We start from the raw sequence: 19,599 nt of genomic DNA, 5'->3' as shown, positions 1-19,599 counted from the left end.
TCAGTTTCACTGTATAAAATTTGTCCTTGAAATTCCGTTACAGATGCTAAAATGAAGGCTCTCCCCCTAGAGAAGAGTCAGATACGTGGATCATCTAAGCCATCATGTGGAGATTTTTCACCAAGGCCACACAGTTTTCGAAGGTTCCCCTTGGGTTTTAGAAACAATTCCGATGCACCTACTGATGGATTATGGAACAAGGTCTGACCTAGTTAACTCTGGCAAGGATAACTCACACTTTAAGGATCCTTACCGAGGCTTCCTTTTCTTTTCCCAGATCCTGGTTTTGATTTCTTAGATCATGTTTCCTTACTATTGACTATACATAGATATAATTTTTCATTAGAACTGAAATGTATTGATTTTTTTCTGAAAAATGTCCTGTTTATTATTAACCACAATTTGTAGCTAATGTGTTTCCCCGTCTGCCATCAATAGGAGAAACAACTGGAAGAGAAGCCACATCAATGCTTGTCATGAAGCAAAAGGTTGTAAAAAAAAGGTTGAATGTGATTTCACATTGTTTATTAAGAAGCACCCTGGGAAAAATCACTGCACCAGCCTATATGTGTATATGTGTATATGTATATACACACCAGCCTATATGTGTATATGTGTATACGTATATACACACATAGGCTGGTGTATATACATATATACGTATATACACATAGGCTGGTGTATATACATATATACGTGTATAGACATAGGCTGGTGTATATACGTATATACGTATATACACATAGGCTGGTATATATATGTATATACACACATAGGCTGGTGTATATATGTATATATGTATATACTCACATAGGCTGGTGTATATACATATATACACACGTAGGCTGGTGTATATACGTATATACACACGTAGGCTGATGTATATACGTATATACACACGTAGGCTGGTGTATATACGTATATACACACGTAGGCTGGTGTATATACATATATATGTATATACACACGTAGGCTGGTGTATATATTATATACATATATTAAACACATATATGTATATATAATTATATACATATATATATATATGTTGGGAATCTAACCCAGACTGCCAAAATGAAAGGGCAAAATCTTAGTTTCTGAGTCACAGCAAGGGGCAGTCTCCATTGCCCTTGCCAGAAGGAGTCTAGAGTAGTTAATTTTGAGTTTACAAAGGCTTTTAACTATTCAGGATAATTTTTAGAGCTAGCTATGACATGAACTCTAAAATTCCTTTTCCCTGGAAGGTGGAGACCAAGAGAAAGTACCGTCACGTGGTTACAAGGTCAAGCTCCCAAGGTCATAAAACAAGATGGAGACCTCATCCAGTTATTTGTATATGTCAGGGACCTGCAGCAAAGTTTATTACTGAACAGCTTCCTGGGCTGTCTTGAGCAGGAGTATACGGAGTCCTAAGCCCATGGTTCATCTCAAGGTACCCCTTGACACAGAAAAACGAATTTATAACACAAAATATACCAGATTCACTACAGCTTAAGACTAGCCTCAGAATTCTTTTTTGCATTAATCAAAACTTTACAGAGGAGACAAACAGTGATTTTTACCATTCATTGAACTGGTTTGCACAGAGAGAGAGGGAGAAAAGGGCCAGAGGTCTGACTGGTAAGAAATTCCTACCCTTTTGCCAGCATGCCCTTCTGGTTTCCCCTTCCCTGAGTGGTCCTAGTGACCCAGCTCACTGTACCATAATCCCAGAGGCCAAGCCACAACACAGAAGGAAATACATACATACATTTTTCAATGCCCTTCAGTGTGTTGTTGTTCATTTGGAGCATTCCACTGCAAGTTATTTTTAGCAAGACTTTGCCATTTCTATAAGACTTTGCTGCCTCCCAGGCCTAATGTATAAGCTGGAAGGAACTCAGTTTTCCAGAAATTAAGAATCCCATTTTTACCTAAAATATGGCCTTTACTCTCAGGTTCTCTTGATTAACTCAGACAATGGTTTTTTCCTACCTAGGTGCACAAGAAAAATGAAACAAAGGGGTAAAACACAAAAATCCCTGTGAATTTGCAAAAGCCAAATTTTATAACCCCTGCAATATTACTGCTTACTACTAGTTCTTTTCTGACCCAGTCAGATGTAAGAGGCCTCTAAGTGGATCCAAGCCAGTTAATTAACAGATTAAATCCCATCCTGGACCCAGGCCAGTTTCTGTCACGACTTCCAAACTTAGTTTGGATCAGAAATTTGCTCAAAGAAACTCAGAGAGCTCAAAACACCAATCAGTGGAGCTCTGAAATCTGAGAGGGAGCTTACCCACGATCCCCAGCTACTCCAATCAGTGGAGCTCTGAAATCTGAGAGGGAGCTTACCCACGATCCCCAGCTACTCCAATCAGTGGAGCTCTGAAATCTGAGAGGGAGCTTACCCACGATCCCCAGCTACTCCAATCAGTGGAGCTCTGAAATCTGAGAGGGAGCTTACCCACGATCCCCAGCTACTCCAATCAGTGGAGCTCTGAAATCTGAGAGGGAGCTTACCCACGATCCCCAGCTACTCCAATCAGTGGAGCTCTGAAATCTGAGAGGGAGCTTACCCATGATCCCCAGCTACTCCAATCAGTGGAGCTCTGAAATCTGAGAGGGAGCTTATCCACGATCCCCAGCTACTCCAAGAGATCAATGGACACAAGTGGGTTCTGCAGGGATGACGGAGCTTACCCACGATCCCCAGCTACTCTGAGAGATCAATGGACACAAGTGTGTTCTGCAAGGACAAGGGAGCTTACCCACAATCCCCAGCTACTCTGAGAGATCAATGGACACAAGTGGGCTCTGCAGGGACCTTGCGTGTTCACTCAGCACTCTGAGGGTGGCTAGAAGCTCTGCTTTGGATCCTGCTTCTGACACCATCTGATAAAAGAAAAACTTCAGCAGAATTAAATTTAAAGGAGTTTAATTGTGAGCAATGAATAATTCATGAATCGGGCAACCCCCAGAATCATGGAAGATTCAGAGAGACTCAAGCACAGCCACGTGGTGAAAGATTTATAGACAAAAAAAAAGGAAATGAGGTACAGAAATTGGCAGTGAGGTGCAGAAACAGCTGGATTGGTTACAGGTTGGCGTTTGCCTTATTTGAACATTTAGCTGTCTATGAGTGGTTGAAATATTGCCTCTGGGATTGACCAAGACTCAGCTAAAGTTACAGGCGCGTACTCCTAAGTTAGCTTTCAATCTTGTCTGGCTATTAGGCTAGATTACAGTTCATCCACAAGGACTCAAATATAGAAATACGGAGTCTTTCTTAGGCCATATTTAGCTTTTGCTTTAACAGCATCTACGACTGAGTCTCCAACTGAGCTCTAAATTTTCAGTGATCTTTTAACATTTTTTTATGGTGTGCTTAGTCTTTTTACAAGATCTAAATTTTTGCACAATATTTTTTTCTTCACAATCTCACGGGTGTGACTCCCCCTTTAGGGTCCATTCTATATGCCTATTGGAGGTGTTTTAGGTCTTCCATAAGAAGCTTCGAGTTTTTGATAACTTTCTCCCTATGCAAACCACAGGCTTGGGCCTTACTCACCATTCTCTAGACCTACATACTGAGGGAGTCTGTTCTGATGGCAAGAGGGTGTGTGATAATGTCATCTGCATTGAAATAGGTGTCTGAGACTCCCTCAGAAAATTTCTACTATTATAATTATTCATGTTTAAAAATGATCAACTCAAATGCAATTTATAGCTGAGGACTTTCTGATCTCCTGAACTGGAAATGAGGTCCTCTTCATAATCTCGTATTGCTTCCAGTTTCTGGCACTTCCTTCTTTCATTCATTCAGTAAATCTTTGCTGAGTATCTCTTAGTGCCAGTGCTGTTTTAGACCCTGGATATATGGCAATAAATAAATATTCTACTTTCAAGACACTTCCACTATGGTAGGGAGAAACAAACAATAAGTTAGTGCAATAGAGGAATATAGTATATTGGAAGGTAATAACTGCAGTGGAGAAAAGTGCAGGGGAAGGGAGCGATGGGAACTGCTAAGGCAGGAGACTAGGGCATAGGGCTTCAGGATGTGGGATGACAAGACTTGGTCAGAAAATGTCTAAGGATGTGACATCTGAGCAAGTTTGGGAAGGAGATGACAAAATTATTCATATGACTCTCTGGGAGAAAAGCTATATAGGCAGCAAGTGAAGTGTAGCTAGCATGTTAGAGGATCTCAGAGGACCCCACAGAGCCCTAAGAAGATATGATTTTGTATTGTGATTCTGTTTCTCCCTTAATGACTTCTCACCATGCAAGGAGATAAACACATGTCATAAATCTGTTTATATTCCTACAGTCCTACCACAAAAAAAAGTCGCTATTCAATTTATGTGTTTTTAAAACGTGTAATGATAGGGACTTCACCATTCTGATTATTTCAAGCAGACAGAATATCCGATCTCAGTATTCTAAGAAGACACCTAGAATCCAGAAAAAAAATAATGAAAGAAGGAAAACCAATATAATGAATAACAGCTATCTCCCAAGCTTGCATTAATTTACAAGTTATCTCATTTAATTTTTACAAGAACCTTAAATATTTGAATTTAAAAATCAGGTCAAGCAACAAATGTTCTAGTATTGGCAACATGTAAACACGTATCGTCAGGTATGGCTGAAACAAAGTAACCTTTTCATGGAAGGACAGACAGGTAAATTAGTGGACATTTAATTAATGTTCATATTGAGGTTAATTTCCAGAATCTGTTAAACAGAAGCAGCTGCATAAAGTGACCAGCAAGACTCCAATTGCAAGAGAGGAGTGGAAGGGTAGACATAAGTTTCAGAAGTTCAGCAGAGTGTCGGGAGAGGATAAGGTTCTTTTGGATATCAGGATCCTTTGATTTGAAGAGACTGGTGCTAAGGATGGAAAATAAAGGGACCACAGCTTCAACATCAGGAATCCGAGTGACTTGGAAACTGTGATACCAAAAGCATGTACAGGTCCAAGACAGCATTGACATGTCTACATTATAATCAGGGCCGCCAACGTGTGCAGAGTGTGTACAGGTCTAAGACAGCATTGACATGTCTACGTTATAATCAGGGCCAACGTGTGTAGAGCGTGTACAGGTCCAAGACAGCATTGATGTGTCTACGTTATAATCAGGGCCAATGTGTGAAGAGCGTGTACAGCTCTAAGACAGCATTGACGTGTCTACATTATAATCAGGGCCAACGTGTGTAGAGTGTGTACAGGTCTAAGACAACATTGATGTGTCTACATTATAATCAGGGCCGCCAACGTGTGCAGAGCGTGTACAGGTCTAAGACAGCATTGATGTGTCTACATTATAATCAGGGCCAACGTGTGAAGAGCGTGTACAGCTCTAAGACAGCATTGACGTGTCTACGTTATAATCAGGGCCAATGTGTGAAGAGCGTGTACAGGTCTAAGACAGCATTGATGTGTCTACTTTATAATCAGGGCCAATGTGTGAAGAGTGTGTACAGGTCTAAGACAGTATTGACGTGTCTACGTTATAATCAGGGCCAACGTGTGTAGAGTGTGTACAGGTCTAAGACACATTGACATGTCTACATTATAATCAGGGCCAATGTGTGAAGAGTGTGTACAGGTCTAAGACAGCATTGATGTGTCTACATTATAATCAGGGCCAACGTGTGAAGAGCATGTACAGGTCTAAGACAGCATTGATGTGTCTACATTATAATCAGGGCCAACGTGTGAAGAGCATGTACAGGTCTAAGAGAGCATTGATGTGTCTACATTATAATCAGGGCCAACGTGTGAAGAGCGTGTACAGGTCTAAGACAGCATTGACATGTCTACGTTATAATCAGGGCCAATGTGTGCAGAGCGTGTACAGGTCTAAGACAGCATTGATGTGTCTACATTATAATCAGGGCCAATGTGTGTCTCAGGGTTTGCAGTAGAGCAGACACTTTCAGGTGGTTTATGAGTCCAAAGACTAAGAGTCAAACAGCTCCTGACAGTTCAGATGGTTAGAGGTTATTTATAAGGAGGAAGAGGCATACCTTTATAGAACAAAGAAGCTCTGGGAGAAAAGAAACTCACTTGTGCTAATTTAAAGTGAGTAGAATGCAAGAGAAACAGAGCAGTGACTGGAAAATGGTTTGACAGACCTGAGTTGTGTCTGTTTGGAGCAACTAAATTTCACCTGTTTAGGTTGGAGCGTTTCGTTGTTGTCATTGCTATTTTAAGAGCTAGTTTCACATAGGAAGATTGGCTGCTTCTGTGTATATCGTATAGTTACTAAAATCACTACCCAGGAAGCTGTAGCACAGCACTCATTAATGAACTGGACTGTTGGAATGGCCTAAATTTGGTGGGCTTGTTCAGCATGAGATAACTGAAACCCTCATACTGGTTTTGCAGTCGAATCCAGTGTGTAGGGCAAATCGATTCATCACGTGTCTGTGTTGTTGCTAAAGTCGACTTACTCCTGAATAGCATGGAAGAAGTCATATTTGACTTTATGTGTTAAAACCAAGGTACCTATTGGGTTTGGTATGGTTCAGCCACACCTGGAATTAATAGGACTTGTACTGAGTGGCCATTTTAGGTAAAGAAATAAGTACTTATTGCAGTATTTGTAGATATCAAATTTATGTAGAATTCTACATTCATCTATATGCAAATGTAGAATTATATATATTATATATTTATATATATATATATATTGAGTTCCCTGAGCATATTTTGTATTTTTAATCTGTTTATTCTTCACTGCTATTTTGTGTATTTTCTGATGTCACCTTATCCTTCTTCCCTCTTTGTAGATCAAGAAATTGAATCAGAGAGACTAATATCCTTCTCAGTGTCACTGATTTTTTGTGTTTACTTAATATCTCTTAAGCACCCACCGTATACAAAGTACCTTGTGAGTCATTGGGAATAAAAAGATGTATAAATTAATCCCCATGTTTTGGAAGTCACAACTTTTGGAAGTCAGGAAAGTAGACAACAAATCTATTTATGTGATACTGACATCTGCCATAATAGGGATGGCTTCCAGGTGTCTTAGAATTAGGGGAAGAAACCCTGAAAATATATATGAGAATGTAGCCCAGGTTGATATTAAAATATTTCACGTGTGTTCAAGAATTCCAGGTGCAACCATCTTTTAAGAACCTAAATATCAGTCCTGTAAATCGTTGAGAAAAGATGCTCTAGGTAGACAGAGAAAAAAGTTAATTTAAAAAAATTATGGAGATTGAAGAGATAATTTCCATTATTTAATCTCTCTGTGCCTTAGTTCCTCATTTGTAAAAAAGGAATAAATAGTATCTCCCTCATAAGACTATTCATAGGATTAATTTACAAATGTAAATTGTGAATTATGTTATACACAGGAAGTGTGTGGAGCACGGTAATTAATCAAAATGTTAGCTCATGATGTTATGATTGTTGTAGTCGTTATGCCTTTTCTTTGCATTTTGGAAGTTTACGTGTCTAAAAGTTTGCATATTAAGGTAAGCATACATACACAATCCACCCTGACATTTAGTCTTGATGTTGAGGACTTTGATATTGGTGACCAACTTTGAGACCCACTTCCAAAAATAAAGTACATAAAAAACCTACTGTTAATGTTACTGAACGGATCGTGGGTCTGCCGACTAGACGCAGCGAAACCAAACACTGACATTGAGATTGCAGCGAGAGAAAGTGAGGCGTTTACTGCAGGGCGCCAGGCAGGGAGACTTGTGCCGCTCATTCCTAAGACTGCAACTCCCCAGCTGCTTGCAGCTAAGGGTTTTCAAGGCAGGGAGGCAGAGGTTTCAAGCAATGAAGGATATGCACTGACGTGACCGAAGCAGGCCGGACATCTCAAAGCGGAGGCCACGGGCCATCGGCAGATTCGATTCTTTTCTGATTTGCAGTTGGTTAAGAAGGCAAAGCGTTGTCTGAATATGTGGGATCCGCGGAAAAGAATGTTACCTCTGGCTCATGGGTGTGACTTCCTGCAGGCCACTCAGGAAGAAATTTAGCACAAAGAACAGTGGTCAGAGTTCACTCCTCAGCTCCCCCTTATCTGGCGTGTCTGTGCCAGTAGATCCATTTGGTGGGGATTTGGGTTTCTTAAAAATAACTCAAATATATGTTCAGATGTTCTCTTTAGCTCCTATAGTGAACCAGATATCCCTTGACTTTACCTTCCTGGCTATTGCTTTAAGCCAATTTTATTGTTAAATATTGTTAAATGTTAATGTTAAATATTGTTAAATAATAAGACAAATAATTTTATTGTTAAATAAAATAACCTTGCCTATCAAGTTGTTCATTTACTTCTCAGGGCTACCCAGGTGCCTGGACTTCCCTTCGAAGGAACTCAAGATTTTATTTCCATACTTCATTTCCATCCACATTTCCAAGAAGGGTCCCTGCTCCTCTCATTAATTATAATAATTTCTTTGGTTAATAGATTTTTCTCTAAGGAATTTCAGACTTCAATTATTATTTGCTCACTAAATTCTTTCCTTACTGAGATGTCATCTGTGGGAGGAGAGCCAAGGAGGGGGATGACAGACATGTGGGCTCAGGAATGACCAGAGCTCCAGCAGATGCCCCCGTGCTTACCCCCATGCGGTGGCTGAGTTAGATCAGGAACAACCTGCACAATTCAGAGGAATTCACAGCTAACGTCCAAAATGGGACGTGCCACTGACTCTGCTTCATAATTGGCACTCATTATTGTGCCCTAATAGAAGCTAATGGAATTTTCAGCCTCCTCAAATCATGGAAATAAGAATATGATGTTGATGGATCTTATCCATTGATGGATCTGGGTCCAGGATATTCTTCCTTACTCGAGGAAGTATCAAGTATTTAGGGACTTAGTTTTCTCATGTGCAAAATCGTAATAATTGTACTTTCCTTTTGCATTTTGTTCAAACATCTGTGGTACTTGTAGAGTGTCTTGAGATTAGGCTGTTAAATGAAGTAGTTACACCTTGAGTTATTGGGTTTGGCCCAGTAGCTAAAAGTCATTTGGTATTTGTCATGGTTTCAAATTCCGTGTCCCACGTCCATGTGTAGAGACAGCCCCCGCTGATGGCATTAATGAATACAGTGAGGGGTGAGGCATGCCAGGAATATCTGTGACACAAAGCATGGAGAACTCTGACATCGCATTCTCCCAACGTCTAAAACACATATGTATGCAAACTAAATGTCTTCTCAACACCGATGCAATTGAATATGAGTATTATGTCATTAGTTTTCTTTCACAGACTTAATGCACATGAAGCAGGAGTTATTATTTCAAAAATAAATGTTATAATCTAAAGCACAAGGCCACATTGAAGCAATGTGTTTTTATTGACTATGTCTTTGACATTTTTGCATTTACACCAGAAAACTTCAATTTGACAACTTGTAGGAGATTTTGCATGATTAGGTGACAATTAATCTATGACTTTGAATGCACAGTGAATGATGTGTCTGTCATGCTTTTTAAAGAGCAGCACATGTGTTTTGAATATTAAAACTTGATTAAAGGAGACTATTTTAGCTGACAAGTGACTGATGAATAGATATGTAAAATAACAGGATAACAGGATAACTAATAAATTTATTAACGCATATTTTCTTATTTAAATAAAACAATTAGGTATTTTGATTATGCAGTCTTTTTTATTAAATAATATTTTCAATTGGCTGTGGTGCATGTAAGGTAGAGAAACAGATGAAACCGTGAAGAGAAGGGAGTGGCTGAGGCAGGAGACATGTATGACCTATTACTTGTGTACCCTTGCACCTAAGATTAGGTAAGACGCTGATGGCTACTGAGCATATGCTTGTTCCTCCCCTTAATTCTATCTTGTTGCTTGCACCCTTACTGCTTTTTACAAGCCAGTTGCTACACTATATCCTGGTCCTTTCCTATTAGCCAAGTTTTCCCAGTGACAGGTTAGGAGAAACAGTGATCAGGAGTCTGGGAGTTCTTGCCTACTGGTGCCTGTGGGAAAGCTGTGGCTACAGTAATGTTTTCTCCATGCTCCACCGTTACCGCATGTATTTAAATATGAAACTGCTAACCATAATAAAGTAAGAAGTAGGAATCTTAGCCATATTTCTCATTGCCTCAGTGTCTGATTTAACAATGTCATAAAAAATCCAAATAATGGACTACGAAACAAACTTAAATTTTCATTTTCTTCGTTTCTACAATCCTTACCATTTGAATTATTTACACCTTACCTTGGACAGTCCTATTATAAATTATGCAAATAAACCTGAGTAGGTTGTAAAACATCTCTCAAAACTTGGTGTGCTCAAAAATCCAGTAAGGTGGTTATTGAAAATGGAGATTTCTAGGCTCCATTTATTGAGTTTTTAATTAAGATGTTTAGGACAGGGTCCAGAAATTTTTCTTTTTAATAAGCACCCAGATTATTCTGCTGTGGGTGGTCCATTATCAGGTCTCTAGGAAATACTGTTTTAAGACATTCCAATACATTGTTAAATTTTCTCTCTTGGAACTTATAATCGTCATTTATAAAGTGCTAAATCTGCCAGGCATCATTCTGAGTGCTTGGCATGTGTTCACTTGTTTAATCTCACAGCTGGGGAGATGGGTACTGTCACGATCATCCTGTGGATGGGAGGCTGATGTTGACTCCAATTGAGTTACCTGCTAGCTGTGAAAAAAACTAATTCCAAGCTTCCAAAATCAGTGTTCTCATCTGTAAAATAGGAGGGACAAGAAAATCACTGTAAGGATTCATTAGAAAGCACTTAGAGCAAGGTAGATACCACTTGGGAAAGGTAATTTAATTAAAAAAGAAAAATGTCTTTAGTGAATGTCAAATCCCCCGGGCGCTGGAGAAAGCCGGAGTGAGTGCAGTTGTTACTGTCCTTTCTGCCTGATGAAGACTCAGCCTCTGCCCCCTGTGCCGTACATCACTGAGGAACAACCAAGAAGAAAGTCCAGCAGCTATAGATACAAATAACCATTTTCTGTTTACTTGCTTTTTAAATCAGAGTAATTTTTTTAAAAAAACTTAAAATAGTGCAATGATGTTTGGAACCAGATTATAACAAATGCCTGGGATTATTTTTCTAAAGAGGAGAACAAATATTTTGGTATAAACTTCTCTTTAAATATTGATAAGATTTTATATATAATATACATAAATATATAATATATATAAAATACACAAATGTTATATATAATAAAATATAAAATATAATATACCATATATTAATATAGTATATATGTTATGTATATTTTGTAGAGATGGGGTCTAACTATGTTGTCCAGTTTTATCTCAAACTCCTCACCTCAAGTGATCCTCTCACCTTGGCCTCCCAAAGTGCCCAGATTACAGATGGGAGCCACAAAGCCTGGCCTATATTTTTCCATGTATTTTCCCTCTTCCTTTTGGAATTTTGGTGGTGGTTTAGAGCTATCACAAATTAATAAGCCTAGTGGTGATAGTAGAAATACACATTAGATTCAATTATGGGACTTGAGGAGTCTAATAAAAGAAATCAGCAGGAAGGTAGCGGTGAGAGCTAAGACAGCTAAGATGGAAAGGGAAGAGTACTCTGTCTTGAAGCATCAATTAAGCTTAACGTTTTGAATAAATGGACAATCTTTAAAAGATTAGCTTGATTTAAATCACTCATTTAAATGTTTCTACTCTGTGGCCTAAAACCTTGACAAATGAAACAATAACCCTGACTTTGGTTTGCAAATGCAATGCACACATTGATTTTTCTCCGATAGAGCACCTGCCTTTGAATGCCCTAATGCACCTCACTATTACCACTTACTCTTTTACGAGCTTCCACCACCCTTAAATGGAGTCGCTTGTCTTCCTGGAGTGAAGAAGGGTGTCAGCACTTTTTTTTTTTTTTTTTGTAGTTCTAGATCAGTCCACGGATCATGCATTTATCGTTCATCCGTGTTTGTCTTTCTGTCTCTAAAAATGACGATTTAGTTTTGAACTACTTGTAGCAATATTTAACCACTGACCCTTTTAATTACTTGCTCTGCTGACACAAGCAGAGCACTCTCGGAGTCGGGAAAAAAGCCTCGCGCATGAAAATTGAATTCAAACAGCAAATGGCTGCACCTTTCCCATTAGCTCTCCTGCCAAATTTATAGCGCAATAAGCAAGCCTGAGGCCAACGTTTACAGCAATTGAGGGCCTGCATGCAGTGAATAATAGGAGAACGTAATTGACAGAGTCAGTCTGAAGCAGAAATATGTGTAGACAAGGAGAAACAATAAAGCCGGAATCCATCTCCTCTTCCAATTAAAAATTTCAGTTGAATGAGCCTTTTTCTAATGGTGAACTCTGAAGAATTGCGGGTCTGTCACAGGTTTCTGTGTTTATGGAATAAATATTCAACATTCATGACTCATTCAGTTCTAATTAGTGAGATGATGGGTAGTTACTTAGCATACCTTACTTATTTTAGAAACACCACTTCATCTTCATTCTATGGATAAGCAACAGGTCCTCAAAAAATAATGAGTTTTCTCTCTGGTTTCAGGCATCATTTATTGAATACCTAATGCATGCACCATATTGTTCTTGCATTTTGTGTTTACATAATTTATTCCATTCATTTGATAAAAAAACATGGCAATATCTCCCTAGCCAAAATCAGTGAGGTACATGAGAAGACTGGATTGTTGAATGATTCAGAGGCTAAACAAAGCTTATAACTCAGTCCCAGGACTGGTATTTGATTAGGGAATCTTGGTTCCAACATGGGGAGCGAAGGTTAATCTGGGAATTATGAACTTGGAATTACTTTTCTACCTTTTTGGGTTATTTTATTTATTTATTTTTTTGAGTCTCACTCTGTTGCCCAGGCTGGAGTGCAGTGGCACCATCTCAGCTCACTGCAACCTCCACCTTCCCTCCCAGCTGAAGCGGTTCAGCCTCCCAAGTAGCTGGGACTATATGTGGGCACCACCACACCCAGCTAATTTTTGTATTATTAGTAGAGAGGATGTTTGCCATGGTGGCTGCTCTCCAACTCCTAGTCTCAAATGATCCACCCGCCTCGGCCTCCCAAAGTGCTGGGATTACAGGTGTGACCCACCACACCCAACCCCTCTTTAGCTTACTTCATTTTTCAGTAAAATTTTTTCAAGTATAGAATTAATATTGTTTTTCATAAAAACAGAATATACAAAAAAAGGGTAAGGAAGGAAGGTTACTCATAAATATATTACTTAATGACAACCTCTATTAATATTTTTCTATATTTCATTCCATTTGCTATTTTATACACACATAAGTGGTAGATTTAACAACTAGAACCTGATAGAATGCAGTTATAAAATCAATAATTTACATTTCAACGTTTCCTGTTAAATTTGCTGTCTTGAATACTTACCTCCTCTCCCTCAGGTGAAATCTCAGAGAGTTTACTTATTCTTTCTGGTAACTCCTATATAAAATATGTCCAATGTAAGATGACAACTCCAGACTTCAGGATTTCTGTCACTTTTACCTTGTGGCCTAGTTTTATCATCTCTGGGCATGTTCTTTATAACATTAGGGATAGAACTTCGGGATATGCTAGGTATTTGAAATATATTTGACCTCAGCTATCTTGAGACAGACAAGACCTCATTTTACATGTTACATGTGGTCAGGCTTACATACAAATAAGTTCCTGCTTTTTCATCTAACATAAACAGAAGCATTTTTCTATATTGTGAGAGGAACCTATAAACACAGTATCTGGTGACTGTGTAATAGTGCATTGTTAGAAAATGCCACATTTTCTTTAACAATTCCGATATTGTCGTTTTCATTTTTTAATCAATGTTAAATATATCTTTAAGAATAATTTTAAAATGTAAATCCTTACCTAGTTTTTAGAATTATGTTTTAGAATGAATTCCTTGACATAAAATCAGTGGATCAAGGGATGTGAACATTTTAAGGCTCTTCATATGCTTGCTCTGTACAATTTTCAAAATATTAAAATTAATTTACACTGTTAACAGCTACATTTGATGATATCCAACTTAGTACACCTTGACCAGTGGTGGGTTTTGTTTCTCTATGTTCTTTGCCTAGCCAATTTACTGAACTCTGTTATTCGTTTTAGAAGTTTTAAATTTTGAGTGTGTGTATTTTCAAAACTGAACTCTCATCTACAAAAAGGGTCATTCATCTTTTTTCTTTACACACATATGCTAACTTTCTCTGTTTGCAGTTGATTCCACTGGACGCAACTCAAGCAACAGTGTTAAATGACGATGGGGAATACACGTGGGGCAGAGGGACCGGGTGCCTCGTGACAGCGCCCCACTCAGGCCCCAGCTGGAACTGAGCGCAGCCCCCATCCGGGGAACGGGGACAGTCTCCCCCTGGTGGAGCCGCTGAGGTGTGTCCGCCAGCGACGGCGGAATCGCTCACTGCGCACCGTCCTGACTCCTCAATACAAATACGGGTAAGAAAATGCTTCAGCTGTGGGGAAGTAACAGTCATGGAGAGAGGCTGCTCCGTCTCCTCAGCTCACCCTGAGTGGAGTGAAAAAAGAACCACCGGGCCGAGCGCGGGGGCTCACGCCTGGAATCCCAGCACTTCGGGAGGCCGAGGCGGGCAGATCACGAGGTCAGGAGATCGAGACCATCCTGGCTAACACGGTGAAAACCCGTCTCTACTAAAAATACAAAAAAATTTAGCCGGGCGTGGTGGCGGGCGCCTGTAGTCCCAGCTACTCGGGAGGCTGAGGCAGGAGAATGGCGGGAACCCGGGAGGCGGAGCTTGCAGTGAGCAGAGATGGAGCCACTGCACTCCAGCCTGGGCGACAGAGCCAGACTCCGTCTCAAACAAACAAACAAACAGAAAAGAACCACCGGAAGGACGTGGGGTGCCTGCACTGTCCCCCATCTCCCTTGATTAGGGGTGGTGATGCTCTCTCAGGGGAACGTTACTCCCCGTTAGAGGGTGGAGTGCGCAGTGTGTGACCCAAATGTCCAGGGAAGGACAGGGAAAACGCCCCCGCGTGCCCAGCCGGCCAGTGGAGCCCACGGCGGGTCCTGGAGCTTGAGACATTGGGCTGGTGCAGAGCTGGAAGCCCCACGGTAGATCACTGTGGACTCAGGAAATCACACAGCCGGGAAAGTGCTCGGAAGACAGAACACTATTTCTAGTATTTACTGGGAAAATAAAATAGTTTTATCTTTATACTGAAATAATATATATTCCCCAACAAAACAGTGATATATGTTACATGTTCTTTAGATATACTGGGCATACTTCGTATTTCACTTTAAGAACATTCTAGGCAGGGGTTTTAAATAAAAGGTTTTTGTTTGTTTGTTATCAGGTTAAAGAAGTATTCTGCCTGTCTCTTCCTGGTGTTGCCTCTTCTCATTATTTCTATTTACTCAGTCTGTACCCACTAAAATCTAACTTTTAATCCAACACTACACCCAAACCAGCTTTTGCTAAATTCAGTAATTACCTCCAGCCTGCAGTATTTGTGTTCAGTTTGCTCCTGTGTGGCCCCTCTTCATCATTTTCTGCTGTTGCCCATTCTCCTTCGGTGACCTGGGAGACTCCTCAGCCTCATTTTAACCCTGACCTTTCCAGCTCGTCCTTCTCTGCCTGCTTTGTGGGGTAATTTTCTTCCTCTAGGCCACCAACGTTTGGAGTTCTGGAAAGCTTGGGTTTGGGCCCTTTTGTCTCAAATTATTCCCTCTCGCTCTAGTCAATCTCATCTATGGTCCTGGCTTCAATTAACACCCAATGTGCATGATTCACAAGGGCATTTTTTTTTCCTGCCCAAATCTCTTTTTAACTCAAGATTGGGATTTTTAAAAAAATTATCCACTTACATCTTATTTTTTCTAATTTCTGAGACAATTCCGGGACTTTACCTTCTGGTTCTTCCATCGAATTTTTACTTGATTTTTACTTGGATGATGCCAACAGGTTATTCTTATTTTCTCATTATTCGAATTACATCATTCTGTCTTCACTTTATGAATGAATATTCATTTGACTTTATTCTACAGGTAGCATTTCAGATTTGGTGATGTTCTCTTCTATTCCCAAAAATGAGCTTTTCCTCATTTGATCCGACGGTTTTTGTTTTGTGTTTTGTTTCAATTATTTTTGTTTGTTGACTCGTACTTTTTGCCAGCTCTGGTTAAGGATGTGAAGCTTATAAACTAATTGCCTGTGTTTTGGTTGATTGGAAAAAGACAAAAAAAAATGAGAAACACAAACTCCCAACATTTGGTGGTCTTTGCTCTGGGGCCAGGTTACTCCCCTGGCTGCTGGAAGATCTTTGTATCCTCTCGTCAGCTCACCTTGAGGGGAGTGTACATATTTTTTGAAGGGTCCATGTTTTATTTTATTTTGCAGCTACAGAGCAGTTGTTTATGAAGACATTCTCCTTTTTAGTTCAGCAAATCTCTTACAATTAAACACTTTCCCTCTGCATTTATAAGACACTAACTTGTCCTCATATGTAGAGATTATTTTGATGGTGCCAGGCTGGCATCACTTTTTTCTCGTGTCTAGGCTTGGTGCTGGTGAGGCTCAGGATGTTCCTGTGCTTTCAGTCCTCACCACTGTCAATTACATGACAGTCGTTTTCTCAGAATTCAGATAGGGGTTGATATGAATGTTTCTTACTCAACATTCTGGTATTATAAGGTATTGGTGGGTAATTTTGAAAATCAATTCTTTAAAGTTGCAGGATTTCCTTCAGACCATGTGACTTAGTATTTCTGATGTGAGGGACACAATTTATTCCTGAGTTTTAAAAATATTTCCATAGTACATTTCTCCCTGATGGCCTCCTCATATCCAAGGTAGACATTTTCATTGTCTTCCAACTTCCACTCTTGGATATGTTTACTTATCAGTTTATATAAAATGTTTAATTGATTTTAAAAGCATGCTTAGGTTCAAAAAATTTAAAAGTACACACAGAAGAGGTCAAAATATATGAAGCAGAGAAATCTGCTTATTTTATTTTTTAATTTATGTATTGTATAGTCAGCCTCTGTAGAAGCAGCGTGTAAGAATTTGAGTATTCCATTTTTAAAATAATTGTTACAAAATACATTAACTATTCACTTCAACACAGGCTACTTTTTTCTTAACAATGTATCCTTTTTCAACGACGTATGAATTTGAGCCGTTTGTTTTAAAGTTTTCCACATCATGGTTATGGCTGACTGCATTGCTGTGGTGTTACCATTTTCCTCTACTCAGCTTCCATACTTTTGGAATGCTAGTACAACTTTATTAGATGCGACCTATAGGAATTTGGGGCTTTAAATGCTAAGCATTCTCTAAGTAAATTTTGCTTTTTGTCTTTCTCTTTTGTGAGTTTTGTGAATTTAGGGACTAGGAGGCCCCTGAGAACATATTGATTCATTTGTTTTGTTTAGTGATATATTCATCATCCATTCAACCACTATTTAGACTCTATCCCCAAGTTTTTGTGCATAAAATAATGAATTAGAATATTATGATTTTGACCATTAAATATAATTACCAGTAGATTAATAGATTTAATATAAAAATATTTCTTTTAACTTATGTAGTTTTAATTAGTTGATATGCATAGACACTTTTTATGATTAAATAGGTGAGCCTAAACATCGCATACCATCCATGCTGTAATAACTTAAGCAAGGTATTAATCTGAAAGTATTTGACTCTGATGGGCTTTGTCTGAGCAAACAACTTCTGTCACAGTCCGTCTAGAACCACAAATAATGCTTCCCCTGGTCTCATGTAATGGCATTGCCTCTCCTCTCTGTCACTACTGTTTTAATGGTAGCATTTTTTTTTTTTTCTTTGAGACAGAGTCTCGCTCTGTCACCCAGGCTGGAGTGCAGTGGCACAATCTCGGCTCACTGCAACCTCTGCCTCCCGGGTTCAAGCGATTCTCCTGCCTCAGCCTCCTGAGTAGCTGGGACTACAGGGAAGCATCACCACGCCCAGCTAATTTTTGTATTTTTAGTAGAGATGGGGTTTCACCATGTTGACCAGAATGGTCTCCATCTCTTGACCTCGTGATCCGCCCACCTCAGCCTCCCAGAGTGCTGGGATTACAGGTGTGAGCCACCGCACTCGACCTCGTGATAGCTTTTTATAAATACTATTGATTGTAATGCTGCTAAGCAGGCCTCTTCTTTCTGAGGCTTGGTGAGGCGTTTTGTCACCTTCCAAAGCGGGGTTCATAAGTAGGTTAGGAATGGGTAGGAAGATACCACCTGTACTCATTGTAAGATTAAAATAAGTTTCTGACTTACTTAGCCAAGAGTACAGAAACTTTCCTTAAATGAAACTGTTATTGGTAGAGGGTGTCCAGGTTCTGACATTTTGAACAAAGAGTTGGACAAAATGCACAAACAAATCAAGGAAAGAATGAAGCAACAGAAGCAGAGATGTATTGAAAATGAAAGTACACGACACAGGGTGGGAGGGGCCGAGCAAGCAGCTCAAAGGCATGTTCAGAATTTCCTGTCGTTTAAATACCCTCTAGAGGTTTCCCATTGGTGACATGGCTTCCGTTGTATGTAAATGAAGAGGTGAAGTGAGGTTATAAAGTGATTTCCTTGGTGTACACCCTATGCAAATAAAGAGAATGAAGTGAGGGTACAAAGTGATTTCCTTGGTGTACACCCTATGCAAATGAAGATGTTTCCTGGCATGGCTGAAGTAGAGTTAGAGTTATTTACTTGGTCACAGAGCTTGATTTAGTTCTGTGAATTCCCTAGGTTCCCTGCACCCAGGCCCTATTTTCCTGTCTCAAAATGATCATACATGTAGAGTAGAAGCGAATAAAGCATTTTTGAGAGGGCTGTTGTTTTGGTGTTGGTTTTGGCATTTGCATTCTCTAGTGCACGTGGGATGCAGCTACTCCCCATGCAGCGAGGCCACACTCACACTCAGTTTAAGTACATGCTCACCAACATAGGCCTTCCCTGCTTTGTAAACTAACCACAGCATCGGCAGCCAACTTTCCATTCTTGGAGAGAAGGGGAAGTCAGAGACCACGTGTTTTTGAACATTGTCTTTGCTCTCTGACTTCCAGCATCCCCAAAAATCCCATTTTCTCTTAAACAACCACCTTACTCTGACTGGATACTTTTTATCTGAGTGGTTTTGATCATGAGTTTGGTCCTAGGACCAAGGACCACAATTAGAAGTTTATTTTCCCGTACTACATCAGTCATGTATGGATTATAATGCAAACAAAATGATTCTACCCATTTGTTGTACTTCTCATTACCGTTCCACTCTCTGGATATCCTTAGTCACATAAAAAATGCACATGCACGAACACAGAGACAACAAAAAAGAAGAAATAACATAATTAGGCAGATTGTTAAATCCATCTTTCTATGTCTACTTCTAAACAATGTGCCTCCTAATTTATCTTCTAACAAAAGGATTTCTTTAGGGGAAGGCATGACTATGAAAACAAAATGACCCAATATTCTCAATGATTTTTAAAACATTGTCTTCAAAAACTGTGTATAAAAATTTTAAAAATCCATACAACTCTTCATTGCAGTATCTTTATACTGAGTATCTATAGACTATTTCAGTATAATAACACAGAGAATACAGGTGTCATTAGAGTTA

General features: G+C 39.4%; 2 long non-coding RNA genes across 2 annotated transcripts in view; both read left to right on the top strand.

Annotated features, from left to right (window-relative positions):
- Positions 1-14,247, top strand: part of LOC105377613 (uncharacterized) — a 29,140-nt gene extending 14,893 nt beyond the window's left edge. Inside the window, exon 4 of the long non-coding RNA XR_001741964.1 lies at positions 14,192-14,247. This is a non-coding gene — a long non-coding RNA (uncharacterized LOC105377613). The remainder of the gene's footprint in view (positions 1-14,191) is intronic.
- Positions 14,248-14,353: 106 nt separating this feature from the next.
- LOC105377612 (uncharacterized) overlaps positions 14,354-19,599 on the top strand; it is a 37,949-nt gene continuing 32,703 nt past the window's right edge. The window contains exon 1 of the long non-coding RNA XR_939631.2: positions 14,354-14,428. This is a non-coding gene — a long non-coding RNA (uncharacterized LOC105377612). The remainder of the gene's footprint in view (positions 14,429-19,599) is intronic.

The sequence above is a fragment of the Homo sapiens genome, chromosome 4, assembly GCF_000001405.40.
Source record: "Homo sapiens chromosome 4, GRCh38.p14 Primary Assembly".
NCBI classification, from domain to species: domain Eukaryota; kingdom Metazoa; phylum Chordata; class Mammalia; order Primates; family Hominidae; genus Homo; species Homo sapiens.
This window is presented reverse-complemented; position numbering and strand designations above follow the sequence as displayed.